General features: G+C 47.3%; 2 long non-coding RNA genes across 2 annotated transcripts, besides 2 other annotated features; both read right to left on the minus strand.

The window, feature by feature from the left end:
- Positions 1-5345: 5345 nt before the first annotated feature.
- On the minus strand, positions 5346-8321 carry LOC124903042 (uncharacterized). Its single transcript, XR_007063503.1, has 2 exons — positions 7715-8321; positions 5346-5686 (listed from the first exon to the last, which is right to left on the minus strand). It is a non-coding gene; the product is annotated as an uncharacterized LOC124903042 (long non-coding RNA).
- Positions 8322-10519: 2198 nt separating this feature from the next.
- On the minus strand, positions 10520-13781 carry TMED2-DT (TMED2 divergent transcript). Its single transcript, NR_110049.2, has 3 exons — positions 13666-13781; positions 13055-13152; positions 10520-12621 (listed from the first exon to the last, which is right to left on the minus strand). It is a non-coding gene; the product is annotated as a TMED2 divergent transcript (long non-coding RNA).
- Positions 13012-13121: a silencer, noted in NCBI's record as "silent region_5047". NCBI's record gives its function as "represses an Ori minimal core promoter by ATAC-STARR-seq in GM12878 lymphoblastoid cells {active_cell/tissue: GM12878}" and the evidence as "EXISTENCE:reporter gene assay evidence [ECO:0000049][PMID:35858748]".
- Positions 13552-13871: an enhancer, noted in NCBI's record as "active region_7271". NCBI's record gives its function as "activates an Ori minimal core promoter by ATAC-STARR-seq in GM12878 lymphoblastoid cells {active_cell/tissue: GM12878}" and the evidence as "EXISTENCE:reporter gene assay evidence [ECO:0000049][PMID:35858748]".

The following is a 14003-nucleotide window of genomic DNA, read 5'->3' on the forward strand; positions in this document are numbered from 1 at the left end:
GCTGATGTTTCCTGTCACCTGCAGAGTTTTAACAGAAAGTCATTTCTTTGATGTGTCGCACATCCACACATCTTAATTTCATGTTATATGTATCTGTAACTGGATCTAATTTTTTTCTTTTCTTTTTTTTTTTTTGGAGACAGGGTCTCATTCTATCACCCAGGCTGGAGTGCAGTGGCATGATCACGCGTCACTGCAGCCTTGAGCTCCCCAGCTCAAGCAATCCTCCCGCCTCAGCCTCTCTAGTAGCTCAGACTATAGACACGCACCACCACATCTGGCTAATTTGTGTTTTTGCAGAGACAAAGACTCGTCATGTTGCCCAGGCTGGTCTCAAACTCCTGTGCTCAAGCAATCCACCTGTCTTGGCCTCCCAAAGTGCTGGGATTACAGGTGTGAGCCACTATGCCTGGGCTTTTTTTTTTTTTCTTTTTTTGAGACAGGGTCTCATTCTGTGGCCCAGGCTGGAGTGCAATGGCACAAACACAGCTCACTGCAGACTCAACCTCCCAGACTCAAGCAATTCCCCTATTTCAGTGGCTCAGAGGCCCCCACACTCAGCCTCCTAAGTAGCTGGGATCACAGGCACTCGCCACCACGCCCAGCTAATTTTTGTATTTTTTGTAGAGACAGGGTTTCACTATGTTGCCCAGACTTGTTTCAGACTCCTGGGCTCAAGCGATTCTCCCACCTTGGCCTCGCAAAGCGCTGGGATTATAGGCATGAGCCACCGCTCCCAGCCACCATCTTCCATTTTAAGAGATTCTATTCCCTTTCTTATAAATCCTGAGTGGTTCTATTCCCCTAAACTGTAGCTCTTTCCTCCTGAGCACATGCTGGACTCCATTTCCCAGCCTCCTTTGCTGCTACGGACAGTCATGTGATTGAGTTCTGATCAGTGGAATGTGGGCAGATGGAATACGCACCACTTCTAGGTCTGGCCCCCGCCCAAAAAACTCTTACATGATCTTCTACTCTCTTTCATTCCTCACTTGCCAGAGGGATGCAATGGCTCTAATGGAGAACACTGAAATTCTCCCTTAGGGAATAGTGGAGCTACTGAATCACTGTGAGAAAGGCTTAAGGTCGACTGTGCATGGGACTGTGATGCAAGCCAGAAATGAACTTTTATTGTGCTGAGCCACTGAAATGCTGAGGTCATGGTTATAGCAGCTCACCTAAGTATTAGTCAGGCTAAGCCTAGAATATGCTTCAGTAACAGCCTACCCTCAAAACCTGAAAACAATAAAGATTTACTACTCCATTTTGTCTGTGTTCTTCACGGTCATTCAGGGACCCAGGCTGAGTGAGGCTCTATTTTGACACATGCTTCAAAGCCACCAAGTTCGGGGCTGGGTGTGGTTGCTCACGCCTGTAATCCCAGCGCTTTGGGAGGCCGAAGTGGGCAGATCACTTGAGGCCAGGAGTTTGAGACCAGCCTGGGCAACATGGTGAGACCCTCATCTGCACTAAAAATACAAAAAATTAGATGGGCATGGTGACAGGTGCCTGTAATCCCAGCTACTCAGGAGGCTGAGGCAGGACAGTTGCTCGAACCTGGGAGGTGGAGGTTGCCATGAGTGGAGATTGCGCCACTGCACTGCAGCTTGGGTGACAGAGCGACACTCTGTCTCAGTTAAAAACAAAACAAAACAAAACAAAACCCACCAAATTGGGAAAAGCGAAAGGTTAGAGTAAAACACGGGAAATTAAATGCTTTGTCCTAGGAGTGACACATATTACTTCCATGCACAACAGATTGACAAGACCTCATCACATGGCCCTATTGAATCTGGAAGTTCTGATTCCCCTGTGTTTGGAAGGAGACGAGGAACCACTGAGAAGCTCTAATGACTGTCCTGACAAATGGTCCCTAAAGCAGGTGTTACTTCTACTGGAGCAGCCTCTCTTCTTCCTCTCTGTAACAGATGTTGGCTGTTTTGGCCAGCCCAGCATCCATTTCCCCTTCCTCTGGGAAAAGCACCTCAGTTTTCCTTGGAAGAAATATCCCTCCCTTACCACCTTAGTTGCTGTCAATCAATGTGCCCTGCACATTGCTGTCTTAGATGTAGGCACGTGACTTGCAATTGACTAATCAGATTCTCTTATGGGAGTTTGGGACTTGAGCAGGCTGATCAAGGATGGGAGCGTTATTTGGAGCTAATTTGCCAAACCCAAGAGACTAAACATTACCTCATGTCTATACCTTCCAGAGTTTCACTCATCACCTCATTCCTCCCCTATCCTAAGTTGAGTTGGTCAACTTTCCTTTGATTCTGTGAGCAGAATCACCTTTTAGAATATTATTTATTTTCCTTATTTAGCCACAGTTGATTTCTGTTGCTTGCAATCAGAGAAGTCTGTCAATACCTCATAAGCATTGTTGGCAAAAATGTTCTAAGTCAGAGTTCTGATCATGTCACTTTTTTGCTAAAAATCTCTTGATGGCTTCCTGTTGTCTGTAGCTGGAGTCAGTAAACATTTTCTGTAAGGGGTCAGATAGTAAATATTTTATGTTTTGTGTGGTCTCTGGTGGTTACTCGCTCTGATGTTGTATCATGAAAGCAGCTACAGACAATAGGTAGACATATGGATATGGTTGTGTTCCAATAAAACTTTATTTACAAAAAAGTCATTGCTGACCTGTGGTCTCCAGAATAAAGTGAAACTTACTGTGGCGTAGAAGACCATATGTTGGTAGGGTGTGGTGGCTCACGCCTGTAATCCCAGCACTTTGGGAGGCCGAGGTGGGCTGATTACCTGAGGTCAGTAGTTCGAGACCATCCTGGCCAACATAGCAAAACCCTGTCTCTACTTAAAAATACAAAAATTACCCAGGTGTGGTGGTGCATGCCTGTGGTCCCAGCTACTCGGGAGGCTGAGGCAGGGAGGATCGCTTGAGCCTGAGAGGCAGAGGTTACAGTGAGCCAAGATTGAGCCACTGCACTCCAGTCTGGGCAACGGAGTGAGATTCCATCTCAAAAAAACCAAAACAACAACAAAAAGAAGCTCTTATGTCTGGCTGCAATTTTTCTTTTCTTTTTCTTTTCTTTTTTTTTTTTTGAGATGGAGTCTTGCTTTGTCACCCAGGCTGTAGCGCAATGGTGCAATCTCGGCTCACTGCAATCTCTACCTCCCGGGTTCAAGCAATTCTCCTGCCTCAGCCTCCCGAGTAGCTGGGATTACAGGCTCCGGTCACCATGCTTGGCTATGCAATTTTTCTAATTGTACATTTTACTCTACTTCCCTCCTCCTAGGCACTCTGTGCTCCAGTACCTTGGAATGCCCTGCCTTCCCCAATCACTCCTAAACTGCCTGTTCCCTTACTTTTGCTTGCACCGTGCCTCCTGACTGCAAATCCGTCTCCATCATCTGTCATTGTTTGCTGAAATCCAATTATCTTTCAGCATCAGCTCATTGCCACCTGTAGTGCACGTTGTATTTTTGTTGCTTTCCAGCTGTTAACTGCATCCTGACTTTGCTTTGCAGAGTCACCTCTCTCCCACTCAAGCCATGTGCTTTGGGTGCTCTTGCCATCTGCAAACGTGTCCCCAGTACTGCAGGGGTTGGCATGTTTCTCCTCTGGTCACAGTGATTAGGGGTGGCATGTGACCCAAACTGGCCCAAGGAGGCCAATCCCAAGACTTTTTGTGATAAATATTAGGAAAAATGTGCTCTCTTTCAACTGGGATTACTAGGCTGCTGGGGCATAAGGTGTAAGATAAAAATCGTTGGCTGGGCACGGTGGCTCATGCCTGTAATCCCAGCACTTTGGGAGGCCGAGGTGGGTGGATCACAAGGTCAAGAGATCAAGACTATCCTGACCAACATGGTGAAACCCCCGTCTCTACTAAAAATACAAAAATTAGCCAAGCAAGGTGGTGCTTGCCTGTAGTCCCAGCTACTCAGGAGGTTGAGGCAGAAGAATCGCTTGAACCCGGGAGGCAGAGGTTGCAGTGAGCCAAGATCACGCCACTGCACTCCAGCCTGGTGACAGAACAAGACTTTGTATTAAAAAAAATAATAAAAAAATAAGTCATTGTCATCCATCCTGCCACTGCAGGGGAAATTGCTTCCTGAGAATGAAATCAAGAGAGAGAGAGGGGGGAGTGAGAGAGAGAGAAAGAGAGAGAGAGAGAGGGAGAGAGAGAGAGAGAGAGAGAATCATAGCATCTTTTTTTTTTTTTTTTTTTTTTTTTGGATAGAGTCTTATTCTGTCATCCATGCTGGAGTGCAGTGGTGTGATCTTGGCTCACTGCAACTTCTGCCTCCTGAGTTCAAGCGATTCTCCTGCCTCAGCCTCCTAAGTAGCTGGGATTAAAGGCACACCACCATGCCTGGCTAATTTTTTGTATTTTTTAGTAGAGCCAGGGTTTCACTATGTTCGCCAGGCCGGTCTCCAACTCCTGACCTCAGGTGATCCACCTGACTCGGCCTCCCAAAGTGCTGGGACTTCAGGCGTGAGCCACCGCACCAAGCCCGATAACATCCTTTAAGCCCCTGGATTCAGCTATACCTGAACATCTACCCCTTTTTAGCTTAAGCCAGACTGAGTTCTCCTAGGATAACTCTCATGATGTCTTCCCATGGCCTTGCTCACTCCTCCTTTGGAAGCAGAATTAGCTTAATCTGAATGCTCAGTTTGGAAGGACAAACTGGGCATGCTTTACCCAGCCACTTCCCCTCCCCTTTCTCTTGGGAACCAGCTCTTCTGTCCCCTTCTACCATAGTTTTATATGATCAGGGTCTGCCCACAGAAGCCCACTCTCATCCTGAAGTATCTGTGAGGGCAAATCACAAAACCGGCTCGGTATGTGTAATTCCGTGCTTCGGTATTCTGTGCAACCATATTTGGCTACATCTATAAGCCACATTCCCAACATTCACTTATAAGTCATCCTTATAATACTGTCGTGCACCACATGACAATGTTTCAGTCAACGATGGACCACATATACAGCAGCGGTCTCTTGAAATGATAATACCATATTTTTACTTTACCTTTTCTATGTTTAGATACACAAATGCCTGTGTGTCACAATTGCCTACAGTATTCAGTACAGTCACATGCTGTGCAGGTTTGTAGCCTAGGAGAAATAGGCTGTACCCTATGGCCTTGGTGTGCAGACTATACTGTCTAGTTTTGTGTAAGTAGATGCTGTGATGTTTGCACAACCACAAAATTGCCACCCATATGTTTCTCAGAATGTATTGCTGTCATCAAGTAACACATGACTGTATTTAGATATTCCATCTTCTTTACTCTTTTTTCTTATTTTTTCACTCTTGGTTTACAATTCAGGACAGGAGTTTGTATCAGTCAGAAAAATAAAACACACTCCAGGTCTTTCCAACAGAAAGGTTTTAATGTAGGAAACTGGTTAAAATATGCATTAGTATCTATTGCTGTGTAAGAAGTTAGCTCAAAACATAGTGACCTAAAACAGCAATAATCATTTATTGTCTTTCATGGTTTCTGCAGGTCCAGAATTTGGGAGCAACATGTCTGAGCAGTTCTGACACATGGTTTTTCATGATATTGCAGTCAAGATATCAGCTGGGGCTGTGGTCATCTGAAGGCTCGACTGGGGCTGGGGAATCTTGCATGGCTGTTGGTGAGAATCCACAGCTTCTAGCCACAGGGGGTCTCTCCCAGAGCTGCTTGAGTGTCCTCATGACATGATAGCTAGTTTCCCAGAGAAAGTGATTCAAGGGAACAAGGCAACAATGCCTTTTAAAAAAAGTTATGCAGGCTGGGTGCAGGGGCTCATGCCTGTAATCTCAGCACTTTGAGAGAACAAGGTGGGCAGCTCACTTGAGATCAGGAGTTTGAAACCAGCTTGGCCAACATGATGAAACACTGTCAGTGCAGTGGTGCGATCTTGGCTCACTGCAAGCTCTGCCTCTCGGATTCAAGCGATTCTTGTGCCTTAGCCTCCTGAACAGCTGGGATTACAGACATGCACCACCATGCCTGGCTATATATTTTTAGTAGAGACGGGGTTTTGCCATGTTGGCCAAGCTGGTCTCAAACTCCTGCCTCAATTGATCCGTTTGCCTCAGCCTCCCAAAGTGCTAGGATTATAGGTGTGAGCTACTGCACTCTGCCAAATGTGTATAGCAGCATTAATAATAGCCAAAATGTGGAAACAACTCAAATATCCGTAGACAAAATGTGGTGCATGCATACCATGGAATATGATTCAGCCACAAAAAGAAATGAAATCCTGACACACACTACAATGTAGATGAACCTTTAAACATCATGCCAAGAGAAGGAAGCCAGTCACAAGAGGCCACATACTATATGATTCTACTCCAAATCCACAGAACAGAAAGTAGACAGTGGTTGCCAGGGCTGGGCAGAGGAGGGATTGGGGAATGACTGCTAATGGGTACAGGGTTTCTTTTTTGGGGCAATAAGATGTTTTGAAATTAGATAGTGGTGATGTTTGAACAACTCTGAGAATATACCAGAAACCACTGAAGTATAACACTTTATTTATTTATTTTGAGACGAAGTCTCGCTCTGTTGCCCAGGATGGAGTACAGTGGTGCAATCTCGGCTCACTACCACCTCCACCTCCTGGGTTCAAGTGACTCTCCTGCCTCAGCCTCCTGAGTAGCTAGGACTACAGGCGTACACCACCACGCCTGGCTAATTTTTTTTTTTTTTTGTATTTTTAGAAGAGATGGGGTTTCACCATGTTGGCCAGGCTGGTCTTGAACTCCTGACCTCAAGCAATCCGCCCACCTCGGCCTCCCAAAATGCTAGGATTACAGGCATGAGCCACCGCATCTGCCATATAACACTTTAAAAGGATGGATTTTATGGTATATGAATTGTATCTCAATAAGGCAGGATGAAAAGGGAGGGAAGCAGAGAGGGCCCAGTTCATGTTGCACCTCACTGACCACTGATTACCACCTGGTCAGTTCTGGGCCAGACGGCAGTTAAGAGGTTCATTCATTATCCATCAGATATGTATGGAGTACCCACCATGTGCCAGCTGTTTGTCCTGTTGGATGATTCATGCACCTGATGGCACATGAGCTCATGCCAATCAATCTGTGGTGATAACCTTAAAAATGCACATTTGGCCAGGTGCAGTGGCTCATGCCTGTAATTCCAGCACTTTGGGAGGCTGAGGTGGGTGGATCGCCTGAGGTCAGGAGTTCGAGACCAGCCTGGCCAACATAGTGAACCCACGTCTCTACTAAAAATACAAAAAATTAGCCAGGCATGGTGGTAGGCGCCTGTAGTCCCAGCTACTCAGGAGGCGGAGGCAGGAGAATCGCTTTAACCCAGGAGGCGGAGGTTGCAGTGAGCCGAGATTGCGCCATTGCACTCCAGCCTGGGTGACAAGAGCAAAACTCCATCTCAAAAAAAAAAAAAAAAAAAAAAAGTATACATTTAAGGCTGGGCATGGTGGCTCACACCTGTAATCCCAGCACTTTGGGAGGCCAAGGCAGGTGGATCACTTGAGGCCAGGAGTTAGCCTGGCTGACATGGTGAAATCCCATCTCTACTAAAAATACAAAAATTAGCTGGGCATGGTGGCGGGCACCTGTAATCCCAGCTACTTGGGAGGCTGAGGTACGAGAATTACTTGAACCCAGAGGCAGAGGTTGCAGTGAGCCAAGGTCACGCCACTGCACTCCAGCCTGAGTGTCAGAGTAAGACTGTCTTAAAAAAAAAAAAAAAAAAAGGCACCTTTACTGTGGGTGACCTGTCAAGTCCTAAGAGCCTGGGATCCTCTGGGTAAATTTGACTGCAGATCCTGAAACAGTAATGTTGAAAAACACCTGATGAGTAAATATAGCTACAACAATGCTAACCAAAAAACCAATGAACAAAAAACTAGAGCCGTCAAAAGAAATACGTCAAGCAGTTGATAGCAATCATTTTACAGTACTGTGATTGAGTTACCTTTATCTCTTTTCTGATTTCAGATAACATAGTCAATTACATTTATAACGTAAACCATAAACTTAGTGACTTCTGGCTGCATCTTTGGTTTGGCTACCAGTGTGTTTTCAGACATTGGAATTGAATGTATTTAGGTATGACATCCTATGATCCAGTTTGCCACAATCCTCCCCGCTCCTACTGCCTATGCTAGTGCCATCTCTGATTCATATAAACTGCCTGATCCCTGAAGGCATTTGAATTTGAGTCCCGATTTATATAATAAAACCCTACAATATACAATTCACTGTGTTCCGCCGAGATCCTAAAAATGTCCACTATTTATTTATTTATTTATTTATTGGAGACAGGGTCTCACTCTGTCACCCAGGCTGGAGTGCAGTGGCACTATCACAGCTCAGCTCACTGCAGTCTTGATCTCCCAGGCTTGGGTGATCCTCCCACCTCAGCCTCCCAAATAGCTGAGACTACAGGCACGTGCCACCATGCCTGGCTAATTTTTTTTTTGTATTTTTTGTAGAGATGGGGTCTTGCTATGCTGCCCTGGCTGGTCTTGAACTCTTGGACTCAAGCAATCCATCCCCTTTGGCCTCCCACAGTGCTGAGATTACAAGCATGAGGCACTGCGCCCAGCCCCGCATTTTAATTCCTTGATAAGTGGACTTAGAACTATTATTTAATCAGTTCAAAGCCGAAAATTAACATTGAATTTCTAGATAAAATCAAAATTGTTCTTGGCCTTCTTCTGCAGTTGGGTTGCTTGGGAAGTCAAAAAGGGTTGTATCAAAAAAAAAAAAAAAAAAAAAAGCCAGGAGTGGTGGTTGACGGCTGTAATCCCAGTGCTTTGGGACTGCTTGAGCCCAGGAATTGGAGACCAGCCTGGGTAACATAGGGAGACCTCCATCTCTACAAATAGTTAAAAACAAAAACAAAAACAAAAACAAAAAAACTAGCTGGGTGTGGGTGCATGTGCCTGTGGTCTCAGCTACTGCAGAGCCTGAGATGGGAGGATTGCTTGAGCTCAGGAATGTGAGGCTGCAGTGAGCCGTGTTCATGCCACTGCACTCCAGCTTGGGTGACAGAGCCAGACCCTGTCTCAAAGGAAACAAACAAAAATAGAAAACAAAAGGGGCTGCATCCATTGGTTTAAGAGGAAACCTCTGTAGATATTATCAGCAGAGGCCAGGCGCAGTAGCTCACACCTGTAATCCCAGCATTCTGGGGAGGCTGAGGTGGGCAGATCACCTGAGGTCAAGAGTTCGAGACCAGCCTGGCCAACATGGCAAAACCCTGTCTCTACTAAAAAATACAAAAACAAAATTAGCTGGGCATGGTGGCATGCACCTGTAATCCCAGCTACTTGGGAGGCTGAGGCAGGTGAATCACTTGAACCCGGGAGGCGGAGGTTGCAGTGAGCTGAGATCGCACCATTGCACTCCAGCCTGGGAGTCAGAGCGAGACTCCATCTCAAGTTAAAAAAAAAAAAAAAGCCTGGGCGCAGTGGCTCTTACCTATAATCCCAGCACTTTGGAAGGCCAAGGTGGGTGGATCACGACGTCAGGAGATCAAGACCACAAGACCATCCTGGCTAACACGGTGAAACCCCGTCTCTACTAAAAATACAAAAAATTAGCTGGGCATGGTGGCGGGCGCCTGTAGTCCCAGCTACTCGGGAGGCTGAGGCAGGAGAATGGTGTGAACCCAGGAGGCAGAGCTTGCAGTGAGCAGAGATCGCGCCACTGCACTCCAGCCTGGGCGACAGAGCAAGACTCTTGTCTCAAAAAAAAAAAAAAAAAAAAAGATATTATCAGTTGAAAGAGACATCCGGGAAACAGGCGTATCAATGTGTTGTTAAGGATAGAGGAAGAGGCTCTAGGCTGTCTCCCTCCAGTGACGGCACTGGAGTCACATTACAGAACTGACCTGCCAGGGAAAGCAGGATGTCTGCCAGTCTGGAAGATGGGGAAGTAGGGGATCACCAGTAGAACTCTTCAGTTCAATAATACAGTTAACCCTTGAACAACGCAGGTTTGAAATGCATGGGTCCGCTTATATATGGATTTTTTTCACCTGGCTGGGCACCGTGGCTCACATCTGTAATCCTGGCACTTTGGGAGGCGGAGGCAGGCGGATCAGTTGAGGCCAGGAGTTCGAGACCAGTCTGGCCAACATGGTGAAACCCTGTCTCTACTAAAAATTCAAAAATTAGCCGGGCATAGTGGCCGGCGCCTGTAATCCCAGCCACTTGGGAGGCTGAGGCAGGAGAGTCTCTTGAGCCTGGGAGACAGAGGTTGCAGTGAGCCGAGGTTGAGCCACTGTACTCCAGCCAGGGCGAAAGAGCGAGACTCCATCTCAATAAAAATAAATAAATAAATAAAAGTTACACCAAGTATGCCGCCTCTCATGCCTCTCTCTTTCCACCTCCACCACTTCTTCCACTTCTGCCACCCCCCAAGACAGCAAGACCAACCCTTCCTCCTCCCCTCCTCTTCAGCCTACTCAACATAAAGATGACAAGGATGAAGAGCTTTACCATGAGTCACTTCCACTACATGAAGAGTAAATATATTTTCTCATCCTTATTATTTTCTTAATAACAATTTCTTTTCTCTGGTTTATTGTAAGGATACAGCATGTAATATATATAACATACAAAATATGCTAATCAACTGTCATTGGCCAGGCACAGTGGCTGATGCCTGTAATCCCAGCACTTTGGAAGGCCAGAGTGGGTGGATCACTTGAGGCCAGGAGTTCGAGACCACCCTGGCCAACATGTTGAAACCCCATCTGTACTAAAACTACAAAAATTAGCCTGGCATGGTGGCGGGTGCCTGTGGTCCCAGCTACTTGGGAGGTTGAGGCAGGAGAATCACTTGAACCCAGGAGGCAGAGGTTACAGTGAACCGAGATCACATCACTGCACTACAGCCTGGGCAACAGAGCGAGATTCCATCTCAAAACAAAAACGAAAAACAAACAAACAAAATGCTAATCAACTGTCATTGGTAAGGCTTCTGGTCAACAGTATGCTGTCAATAGTTAAGTTTTTGGGCTGGGCGCAGTGGCTCACGCCTGTAATCCCAGCACTTTGGGAGGCCAAAGCGGGTAGATCACCTGAGGTCAGGAGTCGAGACTAGCCTGGCCAACATGGCGAAACCCAGTCTCTACTAAAAATATAAAAATTAGCCAGGCGTGGTGGTGGGCACTTGTAATCCCAGCTACTCAGGAAGCTGAGGCAGAACTGCTTGAACTGGGAAGTGGAGGTTGCAGTGAGCCGAGATCGTGCCATTGCATTCCAGCCTGGGCGACAAGAGCAAAACTCCATCTCAAAAAAAAAAAAAAAAAAAAAGTTGTTTTTGGGGAGTCAAAAATGAGGCCAGGCGCAGTGGCTCATGCCTGTAATCACAGCACTTTGGGAGGCCGAGGCGGGTGGATCACCTGAGGTCAGGAGTTCGTGACCAGCTTGGCCAACCTGGTGAAACCCCGTCTCTACTAAAAATACAAAAATTAGCCGGGCATGGTGGCGGGCGCCCGTAATCTCAGCTACTTGGGCGGCTGAGGCAGGAGAATTGCTTCAACCCGGGAGGCAGAGGTTGCAATGAGCTGAGATCGCGCCACTGCACTCCAGCCTTGGCGACAGAGGGAGACTCCATGTCAAATTAAAAAAAAGACCCCAGGATTTTGGACTGTGCAGGGGTCGGTGCCCCAAACCCCCACGTTGTTCAAGGTCAACTGTACACTGTCATAGTCGGGAAAACTTCATCACTGCAGCTGCTCCTGTTTCTTGAAACCTGAAGCGGGAAACTGGATCCTGGGACACTACTGCCCCCTATCGCCTGTTGGTCTTCAAAGAAATAATCCCTTCAATTTTGCAAGGCCTGTGGTGTCATTCCCTTTTAACAGATAAGGAAACCGAGGCCAGGACGTGGTGGAAAATAATCAAGGTCACACATCTATGTGCAAAAGTGGAGTAACAACCCAGGCTCCTCATTCCCAGGTCAGTCCAGTGACCTCAATTGACATGAAATGTGTGAGGTCCTTCTGTGGCCCTGTGGCAGGGCCTGAAGAGGACAGCGTATGTAAATCAAGTCTTGTGCCTTCATGAGTGAGGCAGAGTAGAAAATAACAGTAATTCACTAGGACCGAATCTGCATTGTAAACAGAGAGGAAGGGGCTAGTATTTGGCAGAAGGATGTCAAGGAACATTTTAGAGATAAGAGGTGACATTTGGGTTCTGAGGGATGAGTAGGAGTGTGCCAGGGTGCAAAGGATGAAAAGACAGCTCTAGCAGCTGGTAAGGGCTAAGGGGCATGGAGAAACAGCAAGACTTTGGGGAACTGGTAGAATTCTAATTCTGGAAAATTTGAACAAGGTAATTTTTTGTGTGTGGTTAAGGTATTACATACATACAGTAAAATAAAATGCAATAGTTGCTGGGTGTGGAGGCTCACGCCTGTTAATCCCAGTACTTTGGAAGGCAGAGGCGGGTGGATCATCTGAAGGTCAGGAGTTCGAGACCAGCCTGACCAACATGGTGAAAACCCGTCTCTACTAAAAATACAAAAATTACCTGGGTGTGGTGGCAGGCGCCCGTAATCCCAGCTACTTGGGAGGCTAAGGGAGAAGAATAGCTTGAAACCCGGAGGTGGAGGTTGCAGTGAGCTGAGATTGCACTATTGCGCTCCAGCCTGGGTGACAAGAGTGAAAAGCTGTCTCAAAATAAAATAAAAATGTAATAGTCTAATTGATTTTTTTAAAAAATGTAGACATCCACGTATCTACCACCTAGGTAAAGATACTAGAGATTCCAGCAACCTGGGAGGATCCCTCGTGCCCCTTTCAGGTCTATATGAGCCTCCACCGTTCCCCAGTCCCCTGGAAGGAGAGGGGGTGGGAGAGGCAACATGAAACCTAAAAACCAGTGGGCTTCGCGCCTGTAATCCCAGCTATTGGGTTGGCTGAGGCAGGAGGATCACTTGCCCAGGAGTTGGAGGCTGCAGTGAGCTATGATCGCGCCACCGCACTCCAGCCTGGGCGACAGATCAAGACCCCATCTCTAAGCAAACAAACAAATAAACACCCCTCAAAACCCATGGCTTCAGGCCTGGCGCGGTAGCTTACTTCTGTAATCTCAGCACTTTGGGAGGCCGAGGAGGGCGGATCACTTGAGGTCAGGAGTTCCAGACCAGACTGGCCAACATGGCGAAACCCCGTCTCTACTAAAAAATAAAAAAAAAAAAAAATTGGCCGGGCGCGGTGGCTCACACCTGTAATTCCAGCAGCACTTTGGGACGCCGAGGAGGGCGGATCACGCGGTCAAGAATTCAAGACCAGCCTGACCAACATAGTGAAACCCCGTCTCTACTAAAAATACAAAAAATTATCCGGGCGTGGTGGCGGGCGCCTGTAATCCCAGCTACTCAGGAGGCTGAGGCAGGAGAATCGCTTGAGCCCAGGAGGCGGAGGTTGCAGTGAGCCGAGATCGCGCCACTGCACTCCTGGGCGACAGAAAGAGACTCCGTCTCAAAAAACAAACAAACAAAAAACACAAAAATTAACCAAGCGTGGTGGCTCACGCCTGTAATCCCAGCTACTCGCGAGGCTGAGGCACGAGAATCTCTGGAACCCGGGAGACGGAGGTTGCAGTGAGCCGAGATCGCGCCACTGGACTCCAGCCTGGGCGACAGAGCAAGACTCCGTCTCAAAAACGAAACAAAACAAAAGAAAAAAACCTTAGTTTCAGCCCGCACATTCCCTCAACTCCTATCGCTGCCTGCAAATGTTTCGCCATCTTCTTGGACAATCCTAAGAGGGCATTGCAGAGGCTTCCGGACACTGTCGTTTTCCTGGGAAGTCCACAGGAACTTTAGCTTGGACGAGAAAGGACTAGGGAAAAATTTTTGGTCCTTCGGAGCCGCCGTCCAGGCTCGGGCCGCGCAGAGTCGCTTGTCCCTCGGCGGCTGCCGTGCCTCCCTTTACGTGGCAGCTGCGGGAGCCCGCCAATCCACTGCGCCCGCATCAGCCCCCACTGGTGGCGCAGGCGGAAGGGGCGGAGCTTAGGCGGCGGTGG

This window comes from Homo sapiens, chromosome 12 (assembly GCF_000001405.40).
Source record: "Homo sapiens chromosome 12, GRCh38.p14 Primary Assembly".
NCBI classification, from domain to species: Eukaryota; Metazoa; Chordata; class Mammalia; order Primates; family Hominidae; genus Homo; species Homo sapiens.